This window comes from Homo sapiens, chromosome 2 (assembly GCF_000001405.40).
Source record: "Homo sapiens chromosome 2, GRCh38.p14 Primary Assembly".
NCBI classification, from domain to species: domain Eukaryota; kingdom Metazoa; phylum Chordata; class Mammalia; order Primates; family Hominidae; genus Homo; species Homo sapiens.
The window spans coordinates 191638300-191652831 of NC_000002.12; the positions used below are offsets into that span (position 1 = coordinate 191638300).

Below are 14532 nucleotides of genomic sequence, written 5' to 3' on the forward strand. Positions count from 1 at the left end.
TTTGCCTAAGCTGTTTCCTCAGAAGCCTGCCAGTAGGAAGTAAATAAGCTGCTTGACTCTACTCATAGAGGGGGTTGAGCACTCCTAATTAAAATGTAAATAATTCTCAGGGCCAACAGCTTGTAGACGATAATGACTGGAAAGATCACAGAAACTAAAATCGCACACGCAAAACAGGTTCTAAGTCTTTGTATACACAAACACTAAGCCTACCAATTGATTTAGTCACCTCCGTGAGAAATCACTGGAACCAAGTTATTTGCAAGCATGCAGCAGGAACCAGGTAGCTGGTATACTCTGGTGACACCAGGGAGTAAAGCTTACCAAGTCCACGGGGCATGGATAACTCAAAAAACAAGGGCTTTCTGCAATCAGCTGGTGAATCTGTGGTCCCACACAGCCCCGCCCCAAGGGTTAGGATAGCTCCTCCTGCCCAGCCCATCAGAAGTCTGCCCAGAATCTTCCAAGGCTCATATGTGGAAGATGAGCTATCTGGACAGGCCCCACCCAACAGAGAAGTGTTACTTTGGTTTTAAAATCACCCTTCATTTGAGAAGTACCCTGAAACTTTAATATGCAAATAACAGCTAAATAAAAGGAAAAGCCCAATACAGTTTCTAATTACCAACAAATGCGTATGTATCTTACACATGGTAGCTACTCATAACTTTTTAAAATGAATAAGTGATCTGTTAACCAGAGTACTACATGAGGGAAACAGAGAGAGAATTAAATACTTTTACTAAGAATGAAACTTAAGGCTCTTTAGTTTAGTAGTTTTCAATGGCATTTTTGTTTTCTTCATGCTAGGATACTGCCATACATGCTAGGATTATCTTACTGGTAAATTACTATTGTTGTTAGATAACATTTTGTTGGCATTGTCCTAAACACTCCACATTCATTATTTCATTTTATTGCCACAATAGCATGGGTACAATTATTAAGCCTATGAAAAATGAGGCTTAGAGGTGCAAAGTAATTTGCCTGAGGACACGGAATGAGGACCTGCTGGGTCACCAGGCAAACATAGGTTCATTCCTATGGCACCTCTACATATTTACCGATAATAGTTGTACTGAATTTTTTCCAGATTTTCTTTCATGTTTTAAATAGAAGAGACTGAAGATTCTCTCATCTGCATTATGATATGTTGTTTTCAGGAAGAGAGAAAACTGGAATCATACATGGAGGATGGTGAGAAATTATATATGTTCATGGAGTGTCTCACATGTTTGTCAACAGAAGTGAAAAGATCGTGACCCAATTTTAGAGTTACTTATTCAGGCAACTCTATTATAATGAGTTACTTCAACACTGTAGTGTTCTCCCATTCTAAATTCTAAAAAAAATTAATTTGTTTTGTATTTTTTTTAGTAGAGATGAGGTTTCACCGTGTTAGCCAGGATGGTCTCGATCTCATGACCTCGTGATCCGCCTGCCTCGGTCTCCCAAAGTGCTGGGATTACAGGTGTGAGCCACCATGCCCGGCCAAAAAAAATTAATATATTTTTTTAATTCTCCTGATGCTTACTTGATTTTTCAGGTTGATTTTTTTGAAAACAGACTTAAACTTTTTTGACATTCTATATTCATTTATTCATTCATTCGTTCATTCACATAATTACTATTTATTGCCTTCACAATGTCTGGACAATACTGTGAAGGTTAAGACACCAGCAGCTTCTGTTTTTCATACAATCTTTCTTGAAAAGTTACATTTTTCTTCTTCAGTAGCTGGTTTGGGTTCACAAGATATATAGGGTTTGACTTTGGTGACCTCCAAATCGGTCCAACCTGCACTGCCTTCTGGATATATAAGGTAGCTCATAACCATGTTTTTGAATACTGTGTCTTACTATTTTCTCTGTGTGTGTGTGTGTGTGTGTGTGTGTATATATATATATATATATATATATATGTATGTCTTTTGTAATATGTGTATGTTACATATATAACATGCATATGATAGATGTTACAAATACATGTCCAATGTTACAGCAATATATGCTTCCTGGGAGAAAAGTATTAAATCACAAGAAGTATATAAATTTTAAATGAAATATTTCAGAAATTTTACTGCCAGAGGTAATCATTTTTGAAAGTTTAGTGTTTTATATTCCATATTTTGGAGTTGACTATTTTGTGAATTCATTACTCTGTTCCCTTCCCCACTTTGGTGTGACCTCTTTCCCTGGTTTTTTATTGGCCCTCTCTTCTCAATTTGATTCCACTTCCTGCAGTTACTCCTCTGGGTGGGCCCCATCCTGCAAGGGAGCTGCTGTTCTCAGGTCTGCTCTTTTGTGGGTCACTTTGTCTCACATCTTTCAGACACCTAGTTACTTCCCTCTTCATTTACCTGATGGACACCGTCTGTGGTTTGCCCCTACCTGCTTTTATTTTGTGGTTTGGAGGGCTATCTTATAGCCAGTTTAGTTGCATATGTTGTTCATGGGAATTTGGGTTTACTATTTCATTGTTCTGTATGTTTTTATGTAAAATACAGAAAGATTCAAAAGCTATGTTACTGTTACTTCCATCTTCCCAGAGTCTCCCTCTACCATCAGACTTCCTTCTTTGAATAACAGGTTAAAGCTAGTGATGGAAGATGATCAATGTTATCCTTAATTGGCCCCAGACTAATCAATTATGATGCTACTTAAGATAATGTTTGCCAACCTTGCATGTACATCAGCAACACCTTAGGACTGTAAAACAGCTGATCCCCAAGAGCTTTCCTGATTTAATTGGTCTGCAGTAGTGTGTTCTCACATGATTCCAGTGTGTGGCCAAGGTTAATAATCACTGATATGGAGGAAACAAAATTAAAGCATTTCAACTCTCTTAGCAATCTACTGAGACTAAGCCAGTTCTGTGTGCTCAATCTGCACATTAAGTGTGGTCCCTTTCCTCACTCTAAGCCCCTATGCCTCAGGTGAGGCTGGTTCATTCTCCAGCAACTACAGTAGCCAAGTCATCCATACATGGCCAATCAGTGTACTCCATGCTTGTCCAAGGATAGACATGTCACCCAAGCTGAACCAATACAAAATTTCCCTATGACATTTGCTGGAGTTATTATGCATCACTCTCTTTTTACAGAAATTGTGAGCTTCAAGATCAGTGTAAACCTACAAATTCCTTTTGCCATCTTTACCCCCAAATGAGAAGAATCTGCTTGGGAATGAAGCTTAGAGAGGAAAACATTTGACAGGTAGAAAGAGTAAAAAAGTATTCTGATTACACCATTGATGGGATTTTTAGGGGTCCAAATATAATACCTTATTTTACCTAAATTCAGAACAAATTTAGAGATAAATGCAGGCTAGGTAATTGGAAAAGAAATAGTTTTATGATTGAGAAGCTGATTGAGCTCATGGCTTTGGATTGCTGCCCAAAAGAATTTTCTAAAACTCTGCTCCTTAGTTCATCTTAGTTCATGCTTCTACTTAGTTCTCCTTAACACAACCGGCCATTGGCATGGCTGGAATCTTTGGACCTTGTCCTCCATTGTGGACTGCTTAGCACCAGGAAGGCAGATGATAAGACAGACAAACTGATCAGACAGAATGAAGGGCACTGGAAGAGCTGAACCATACCCAGATGCCAGTTTCTTTCCCAAACCCCCAGTTGGATAACTCTCCCAAGCCATGGCTCACAGTTTGGTGAGCTGAGTTTCTGCTAGATCTTAGCCCCCTCTTGTCTCTTCTATGCCAACACACCTGCAGACCCAGATCACTCTTCCTACCTTTGGGAGAAATAAATGAGCACACTGAGAGAAGGTGCGAGGGTTCTGTTCATGCTTGCTCATCCTGAGAAAGAAAACGGGGAATAAGTGTTCTCCACTTAAAATTGTTTGAGCCTCTGAATCCAGCAACATATGAAGCCAGATGCACTCCTGAATTTCTGAGTGGTGATCATACACCTTTTCTTTCTTTGTTTAAGTGAGTTTTAGTTAGGTGTTTGTCATTTGCAAACCCAAAGTCTTAATTAATACATTAACTAGTTTTCTTCTGTTTAATAAAATTAAATGTCAAGAGCCATAGATGGAGTAACTCTAAGGAGACACCATCCTTTCTTGTGCTGTAAGTGGGCCTCCTTTGAGTGCACATTAGGCTTCACATGTTGGATTTGAATCTGATTGTCCTTTGGGATCTTCATAACATGGCTTTGTCTGAAGGCCTTCCACTACTCCTCCACCCCTGCCTTTTGGTCTGGTGCAGCAGCAGTTTCATTGACACCGATCCCAGTGTACTGCACCATCCCTTGTAGTTCTGTACTTCCGAACCTTTTATAAACAGTCCTTTGATTAACCCTCCTCAAGTTATTCTACTTTTAAACTTTGAATGAAGCATCTTTTTCCATTAGAAAAGACTGATAGATCTTTTCTATATCTGACTGATAGATCAGTCATTATGTTACTTTGACACAGTCATATCTTGGCTGGCACTACAATGTTCTTAAAAGTGTTGACATATTAACTTTCAAATATATCTACTATACAAAGGTCAAAACCTTTGAATATATTGCCAGAGTTTTTTTCCCTCAATAAGTACAAAGTCTGGCTATTTAAAAGAAATCAAGTTTTCAAAAGAAATAGTTATTTTTTCTTGATTAGATTAACAAGAACAATAAAACATGAACATCTAAACAGGAAGAAATATTTGCTTATCTCATAATTCTTCTAATGGTGAGAAGAACTTAAAATTTTTATTTAGCTGATTTAAACTGTAAATATTATTTTAAGATATCACATATAAAAGAAAATTGAGCAAAAAGTTTTTCTGGGGAGAGGTGTAATATGCTGTGGCTTTTTGGGTACTATTCTTAGATGAGTGTATTAATTTTTTCTATTCTTTTCTCTCTTTATTCCTCTTTGACCAAGGGTGAAAAAATTCTAAAATGTTATTTCTAACCTCCATTTTTTTCTCATTATCTATCTACTAACCTCATTTGATATTAAAAGAGCATACATAATTAAAATTGCTGTTTGGCGGGGAATTTTAAATGGTACTAATGTGCCACTAATGTTTTCTTTTAGCTACTCAATGTAAACAAGTCAATAGCTTTTGCTGCATCCCCAAAAAACCAATGAGAAAACATAATAGGAAAAAGAGACACCCCATGCACAATAGTACAAAAGGGCATGAAATATTTATGACTAGCCTTAACAAGAAATGCGCATGACCTAAATGAAGACAATTATACAGCTTTATTGAGAACATAAAGAAGATGAACGATGACAATAAAAGTTACCCTTTCCGCATTCTTCATGCTAGGCTCAGTGCTCCATGCTCCCCTGTGTCACCTCCTTATCTATGAAGCAGAGAAGCCCTGTAGTAGCTGGCACACTGCTCGTGAGCCCAACTCAGGCCTCAGGCAATTTACTTAACTTCCCTGTGCTCCAGTTTCTGCATCTATAAAACCAGGACAGGGAAAATACATACTTCACAGGATTGTTGTGAGATTTAAATACGTCACTACAAAGTGTTTAGTATAGTGCTGGGCAAATGGCAAGCCCTCATTTATATTAGTTATGTTCACCATTTCTTATAACCCCATGACGCAGGCACCATTATTATAATCATGTTACAGGAGAGGAAACTGATTATCAGAGAGGATAGCAGCTTGCCTAATGTTATCCAGCAAGTAAGTGACTGGGATTCCTAGGCTGACCGGTCCAACTCAAGAGCTAGGACTTGTGATTTATTACATATCTGTGTTTTCAGAGAAGACAACGGTCATTTTTATGACACTTTCTGGAATAATTCTAGAGTTTATCTTAAAGAATAAACAGGTAAAGCTGTGTTTTATTTTGTTTTGTTTAATTTTTTTTTTTTTTGAGATGGAGTCTCGCTCTGTTGCCGAGGTTGGAGTGCAGTGGCGTGATCTTGGCTCACTGCAACCTGCACCTCCAGGGTTCAAGTGATTCTCCTGCCTTGGCCTCCTGAGTAGCTGGGACTATAGGCGTGTGCTACCGTCCCTGGCTAATTTTTTTGTGTTTTTAGTAGAGACGAGGTTTCACCATGTTGGCCAGGCTGGTCTCGAACTCCTGACCTCAAGTGGTCCCCCTGTTTCAGCCTCCCAAAGTGCTGGGATTACAGGTGTGAGCCACTGCTTCCGGCCAGGGTGATGGCAATGTTCTTTATCTTGATTTGGTGGTGGTTAAATGACTATAATCCTAGTCAATTTTTTTTCATTATACTTTAAGTTCTGGGATACATGTGCAGGTTTGTTACATAGGTATACACGTGCCATGGTGGTTTGTTGCACCCATCAACCAGTCATTTACATTAGGTATTTCTCCCAATGCTATCCTTCCCCTAGCCCCGCAACCCTCGACAGGCCCTGGTGTGTGATATTCCCCTCCCTGTGTCCATGTGTTCTCATTGTCCAGCTCCCACTTATGAGTGAGAACATTCAGTGTTTGGTTTTCTGTGCCTGGGTTAGTTTGCTGAGAATGATGGTTTCCAGCTTCATCCGTGTCCTGCAAAGGACATGAACTCACCCTTTTTTATGACTGCATAGTATTCCATGGTGTATATGTGCCACATTTTCTTTATCCAGTCTATCATAGATGGGCATTTGGGTTGGTTGAAGTCTTTGCTATTGTGAATAGTGCCACAATAAACATATGTGTGCATGTGTCTTTATAGTAGAATGATTTATAATCCTGTGGGTATATACCCAGTAATGGTATTGCGGGGTCAAATGGTATTGCTGGAAACTTTACATTTAAAAAGGGTGAATTTTATATGTGAAAATTATACTGCAATAAAACTTGGGAAAAAAGAAGATTTCTATTATTAAAAAGACAAGCAGTCAATTGGGAAGAAACTTATACAAATATGACAGAGTTACTATGTTTGCTATACCACCAATCAAACCAAAGAATCTATAACCTATGACCCAGCAACATCAGTTCTAAGTATACATCCAGAAATGACTACTTACATCTGCCTAAAGACTTGTAAAGAATATTCATAGCTGCCTTCTTTATAAAAGCTCCGTATTGCAAAAAACCCACATTTCCATCAACAGTAAAATGGATAAATAAATTGTGGTATACTCATGCAATGGAAAACCACACAGAAATGAAAAAGAATGAACTATACATGCAACCTGGATAAATTTCCCAAACATAATGTTGAATGAGAGAAGCTTGACACAAGAGTATGTACAGGATGTTTTCATTTATAAGCCTATAAAACAGGCTAAATTTATCTATACCAATAGAAATTAGAATAGTGATCACTTGGAGGTGGTTACTGCTAACTGGGAAGAGGACTGGGGAGCCTTAGTGTGCTGGAAGTGTTTTATATCTTGATCTGGGTGTTGGTTACATGGGTGTGTACATATGTAAAAATTTGTTGAGCTATATAATTAAAATATGTTTACTTTCCTGTATGTAAATTACACATAAAAATACCTAATCTGAATTAACGAGATGAGCCAAGGATGTGAGACCACAAAAGAAGAAATCAACTGACTTAACTATTATGGACACATAGATACACACTCCATCTCAGTAATCAGACAAATGTAAATGAAGTTTTAAAAAAGTATAATATCTGGGGTTAAGGAGGATGAAGAAGTTATGAGGAAGATCTTAAGATGAAGATTTGTGGGCAAATAATTATTAAGGAAGTTCTTAAGTGAGAAACCAGTAAGGGAGTTGGGGAAGTAGAATAGGAAGAGGAAGAAGCCAAGAAAGGGTCCGATTGCAGATGAGGTTTCATTCTCAGTCTAATTCCATGGGAGCTCTGGAGTGTAATTGACACTGCATAGTTTATTCTGCATCAAGGCAAATAATCTGGGTTTTCATACTCCTCTATAATTCTGGGGTTGACTACCTGCTGCCTTGGGGTGAGGGGTGGGACATCAACTCTGCCCCACCCCACTTCTGGCCCTCAGTGCATCCTGTCTAATGGTGTCCTGTAGCCCAAGGGTAGATCTCTGAAGAAGGGGACTGGTGAGTTAGGTTAGGAGCTGAGTGTGCGGAAGCTGGGAGATTGGGAGATAAGCACACAGAAACAATAAAGGGGATCCAGGGAATCCAGTCAGAGCACTTGTGTTGATGCAAGTTTGGAGATTAAACATGAGGTTGAAATGACTAATTATGAATGTTGAGCACAAAGAAATAAAATGAGGAATGAATGAATGGTCTTTCCCAAAACAATTCAGTCTTTCCAATAACTTCCCCATACTTTTTTTTTTTTTAAATAGGTGCTTTGTTTCCAAGTTAAACAGAAGATACATATGGGAGATTCATAGACAAAGAGGTGAGGAGTTGATTTGTTCAGAAAACATTCAGATCCTATTCAAATCTTAGAATTTGTTGAGTTATGTATGTGCCACAGAGAAGCACTTGGGTTGCGAAATTGTGTGTTTGTTCTCTCTGGCAGGCTATTTATTTGGTTGTTGTCCATTCTTGTCCTATCTTGCACAGTCATACACGGTCTCTTCTTTGCCAGAGTACTTTGCATTTTATTGCATTTGATTTTAATGACATTCTGTGAGGGCGTCGGCCAACTGTTTTCCAGATGAGAAAACCGAGGCTAGATAGGTTAAATTGTTGCCTCTCAAATTTAGCAGCACATCACACCACTTGAAAGAGCTTTGTAAACTACTATTTGCAGTGCTTGAAGGTGAGGACCAAACCTGGGTTTTGTTTTGTTTTAGTTTTTGAACTATTTTTAGAGACCGGGTCTCATTATGTTGCCTGGGCTGGAGTGCAGTGGATATTTACAGGTGAAATCGTGGTGCACTACAGCCTCAAACTCCCTTTGCTCAAGCTATCCTCCTGCCTCAGCCTCCCAAGTAGCTGGGACTACAGGTGTGAGCCACTATGCCTGGCTCTAATTTCTGTTCTTTAAAAAGCTCCCTAGGTGATCCTGAAGTACAGACAGATTTGGGAGCAAAAGGCTTAAATGATGTTCTTAGGGTCCTGAGAAAGGTAAGAAAACACTCATTCCTAAGTCATTAATGTATTGTTTTATTTATCCACCTATTTATTGAGCATTTACTTTGTGACAGGGATTCTGTGAAATACTGGAAATGCAACAGTGAAAAGAGAGTCAAAACCCCCTTGACCTCATACAAGATTATAGTCTGAGGAAGGATTACAGGTGTAAAAGTGGGAGGAGCAGGGTATTGCATGCTATTGTTCTCAGGACACTATTCATCTTATTGAACGGACAAAGCCTGCAGTGAACTTGGCGATAAAACAGACATTGAACTAATAATTCCAAAGGCTATTGGGGTTTTAGTGTATTTTGAGAATGATAATGTCAATCATATTCACATGCATCTTAACATATGGGAGAGTCACTGGTCATTTTGGGCCACTGGCATTGTCCTATCAAAATTGCTAACTGGTTATATATATCAAGTGCTCTCTTTTATGAAAACATTACAGAAGCCCATGCTTAGGCTGATGTATGGAAGTGTTTCTGACATTTTGGTCTCAAATTCCACAAAACAGATTAAACTCCTTACTGTAGGAGTTTTTTATAGTTATCTAAACCAAAGGCATTCCTGCAGATAAGTTGCCTAGAGTCTAAATAGATATACAATTCATCCTTTATTCCCCATCTTCTTCTAATAATACAGTAGAGGGAGGAATAGGGGAGGTTTTTTTTTAAGTTAAGACAGGGAGACATAATGGCATTTGGTGAGGTTGAGCACACAGATTTTAAGGTTTTAAGGCCTTTGGACAAGTATTCTCCAAAAGCAAGTATGAGTCATCTAAGGCCTGCAGCCCACTACATGGTGAGGACAATGGCCCTTGCATGGAGATTACAGTGTAAAGGCCTCCCTGGAGCAGGGTCTGAGTCAGCAGTAGCTCCTTGGAAAGTCCAGGGAAGAGATGGAGGGATCCCAATTCTAGCATATTTTCCTCTACACACACTATTACCAACACACACACACACACACACACACACACACACACACACACATACATCATTAGCCTATAAAGTTGGATTCTGTTTTTTTTTTTTGAGACAGGGTCTCCCTCTGTTGCCCAGGCTGGAGTGCAATGGCGTGATCTCTGCTCACTGCAACCTCTGTTTTTCAGGCTCAAGTGACCCTTCTGCTTCGGCTTCCCATGTAGCTGGGACTACAGGCACAAGCCACCATGCCCAACTAATTTTTGGACTTTTTGCAGAGATGGAGTTTCACTGTGTTGCCCAGGCCGGTTTTGAACTCCTGAGCTCAAGTGATCCACCTGCCTCGGCCTCCCAAAGTGCTGGGATTACAGGTGTGAGCTACTGTGCTTGGCCAAAGTTGGATTCTTGTTGTGTTTAAAAATATTATCCATTTCTTTAAAGCATCTTTATCATATTTTAAGTAGGCCTCATGGTAATTCTAAACCATAATTTAGTCTTACTAACACTATTCCTATAGGCTCTTGCCTTTCTGATTTATTGAGCTGTAGTGTCTTCTTTCATCTTTTTCATATTTTTTTAGTTCATCAAAACCCTCATGACAATCATGTTAACTTCTTTAATTTTTTTTCCTGTATCTTTCTCCTTAGTATCATTTATGATCTTATACTTGGGTCAGGAAGGGATGGAATGGTATTAAGAGTGGAGGTGGTTGGCCAGGTGTGGTGGCTCATGCCTGTAATCCCAGCACTTTGGGAGTCCGAGGTGAGTGGATCACCTGAGGTCAGGAGTTCAAGACCAGCCTGACCAACATGTAGAAACCCCATCTCTACTAAAAATACAAAATTAGCCGGGTGTGGTGGCACATGCCTGTAATCCCAGCTACTCAGGAGGCTTAGGCAGGAGAATCACTTGAACCTGGGAGGCGGAGGTTGCGGTAAGCTGAGATCATGCCATTGCACTCCAGCCTGGGCAACAAGAGTGAAACTCCATTTCAAAAAAAAAAAAAAAGTAGAGGTGGTTAAGTGCTATGATTTGAATGTGCCCCCTAAAGTTCAAGAGTTGAAAACTTGACCCCCAATACAACAGTGTTGAGTGGTGAGGCCTAATGAGAGGTGATAAGGCCAGGAGGGCTCTCTCCTCATGAATGGATTAATGCCATTATCACAGGAGTGGGTTTATTATCAGAGGAATGGGTTTCTTATAAAAGGATAACTTTGGCCTCCTGTCTCTTTCTCACCCTCTCTTTGCCCTTCCACCATGGAATGATATAATAAAAGACCCTTGCCAGATGCTGGCCCTTTGAACTGTGATTTCCCATCTTCCAGAACTGTGAACCATTTAATTCCTGTTTATTATAAATTACCCACTCTCAGGCACTCTGTTATAGCAGCACACAAGGACTAAGACATTAACTTTTGGATTTTAAAGTGTTTCCCTGAAGACAGCATAATGTCAACAAAGCAAGTAATTAAGCTGGGTAGGTGCTGACTGCGAGTGAAGAGAATGCCAAGTTGTTAATGCAGCAAGTCATTAAGCAAAGTGACTACCAAACTCAATAAAGCAAGATTTGCCCTGGATAAGCTAACCTGGGATAAAACAAAGTTGACGGCATTAGACAAACTTTCACCCAGGGAAAAGGTTAGAAACAAAGGATAACTCAGTCTCAGGGTTGGAGACCTGGAAGTGATGTCAAAAGATCATTGGATCCCTGCCTCATCTTTAAAGATTTGATTGACTGACTCTTCTGGCCTATATGCCTGGTCCATTCTATTTTTCATAGTTAATTAAAACAGACATATAACTTATTTTTAAAAGTAGTTTACGCCAATGTTCAATGCTTCTAAATTGTTCTTTCTTGTGTCCAGATGAAGGTTCTCTCAAATTTAAAATTATTTTTCTTTGGTGAAACTATCTGCTTTCTTGAAAAAAATTGCTTATCCGCATTTTCATGAAAGGGATTAAGCCAACAGGTTCTGGAGCCAGACTGCCTGGGGTAAGAATGCCAACTCAATCACTTGGGCCTATGGCTTCTTAACCACTTTCTTAACCTGCCTGAATTTCCTCATTGGTAAAATGGAAATATTATACTACCAGTTAGCTACCTCAGGGTGTTGCTGTGAGGATTAAATGGGGTAATGCATTTAAAGCTCTTACTTACTACTGATAGGTGATAAGTACTCCATAATGGTAATAATAACAATAATAATTGTTGGGTTTTTTTGAATGTTCTTTATTCTCCAATCTTACCTTGTATGCCAAATATTTTGCTATATACTATATACATATATATTTTACTATATATATATTTTACTATATATATATATATAGTTATTAAATACTTCCTATATTTGAAGGTAGTAATTGAACCCGTCAGTTGTCTTCTGCTGAGCATTAAAGAACTAAAATTCTCCTTTGAAAACTTTAGAGTTATCTAATTTTATCCCTGGACAATTGGTCTGAGGTTATTTAACATAGTAGTGGACATCCCTATACACTCAAAAGACTAAGAAATAGGCTGTATTACAGCATTTAAAAAATAACAAAGACCATGAATCATGAAAAGAAAGGCTGATGATAGTATATTCAAATTTTTCTGAATTTAAAGAAGACTTCATCCAAGATATATTTTTTTAAACCAACTCTAAAAGGGAAAATCAGCAATTACTCAAGTCCTGAGAATACAGTAGTGAGAAATAATACATGTATTCCTTGCTTTCATATTGCTTATAGTGTGGTGGGAGAGGCAGATATTAATCAAATAGACATAAAAAGAGGGCCTAATTAATAAGTGAGACAAATGCTATAAAGAAATGAAGCATGTTTCTGTATGTGTAAATTCAAAAGAAGAATGACCTCACTAGGTTTCCCTGAGGAAGTGACACTGAACAGAAACCTAAGGATTGACTAAGCAATAACCAGGGCCAATGAACAGGGCAGTTAGACATTGGGAGCAGCTGTAGAAGAGAGCTGTTCTGCCTGAAGGGGCTTTTAGGGGGAAAGAGTTTCAGACAAAAAGAGGATCAGAAAGAAAGGCAGCCCGACTAGGGAGCTGACACCAGGGGAGGAGAACCACTAGATAAAACCAGAGAAGGAATAAGGCCAATCCCTGCAGGCTTTTACAGGCCTTGCTAATGATTGTCACTCTTATTCATAGGAAACTTAGAGATTTTAGGCAGGTTGTGTAGAATATGATCTGGCTTGTATTTTGCAAAGGTGTCTATGACTGCAGTTTGGGGAATGGGCCAGTGAGTTGCTGAAAGAGATCAGTTAGGAGGCAATGGTAAAAGTCTAGGAGAGACGTGCTAGTAACTTGGACTAGGATCTTCATAGTAGAGATGAAAAGAAGTAAACGTGTCATAAACATTCATGACAGAACTTAGTGATGGGTAGATAAAGAGGCTGAAGAAGAAGGTGTTAGAATGACTCCTACATTTCTGATATGAGTAATTAAAAGGATAGTGACCATCTTATTACATGGTAATAAGAGAACACTGTAGCATCCAGAGTTTGAATGCAAGATTAACAATTTTACTTTGGACATTTTGAGTTTCATATAATTAGAAGATTTCTGGTAAGCACAGAATCAAAACAAAAAAAAAAATGATGGAGGTCTTGATGGATGTTTCAACCAAACTGTGGTCAACATATTTCTTTAGTGACTGCATTTGTGTTTGTTAGTTTTAGTACCTGTCTTTCTAGAAGAGTTAGAATAAACATTGCCAACTTTCTTATAACATAGAGAGTAATAATAGCGCAGGATCTGGGATGTTAGACTGAACACATACATTCGAATCTCTTTCCTTCTGAACCCAGTTGAGAGAACAATGAAATAATTGTTAACAAAACATAAATGCACAAGGACAAAGGGAATGAGATAGGAGACAACAGCAATAAAACTTTAGAAACTGGGAAGCAGACAGACAAGTAGTAACTGAATTAAGACAACCAAAAAAGCTGAATCTTCAGCTTGACGATAACCAACCCAGCTTACATTATAGAACCCCCCAAATTGGATCACATAGCTGGGTGTGGTGTTGCATGCTTGTAGTCCCAACTTCTTAGGCGGCTGAGGTGGAAAGATCACTTGAGCTTAGGAGTTCAAGGCTGCAGTGCTTTTGATCACACCTATGTAGAGCCACTGCATTTCAGCCTGGGCAACATAGAGAGACCTGTTTTTTTTTTTGTTTTGTCTTTTTCTTTTTTTTTTTTTTTTAAAAAAAGAAGCACAGATATCTTAGGAACTAGGAATGAGGGTGGTGCTTAAACATGGGATTTGGTGAGACCTCTTTGTAAGAAGCTGATGGATACCGAATTCCCCATTCCTATTCTTTTCAGGTGGGAGACTGCCTCTTCTTTTGGTGCCAAGAACAAATACAGGGACTCTGGACTGGGGTTACCAGGAAAGGATGTAGGCTACAATATTGCAGGCTGGGGATTAAGTATGTATTTATAAGTTGTATACTGAAACTTCCTCAATCTTTTTCCTTCACTTAGCTCCCAGAACACCGTTAGCCAGGCTTATGTTTTCTTAGCAGAAGGCTGGAAATATTGTCTGGGCAATCTTATCAACCTGAAAGAAAAGACACTGACAGTGGCCCAGTATGTTGGCCTATGTCACATCATCCTGTAGCAAACCCAATGG

The 14532-nt window shown here is 38.9% G+C and overlaps 1 annotated feature.

Annotated features, from left to right (window-relative positions):
- Positions 7891-8030: a silencer, noted in NCBI's record as "fragment chr2:192510916-192511055 (GRCh37/hg19 assembly coordinates)". NCBI's record gives its function as "represses an EF-1alpha promoter that drives an FKBP-Casp9 reporter gene in an ReSE screen in phorbol 12-myristate 13-acetate-treated (for megakaryocytic differentiation) K562 erythroleukemia cells {active_cell/tissue: K562(+PMA)}" and the evidence as "EXISTENCE:reporter gene assay evidence [ECO:0000049][PMID:32094911]".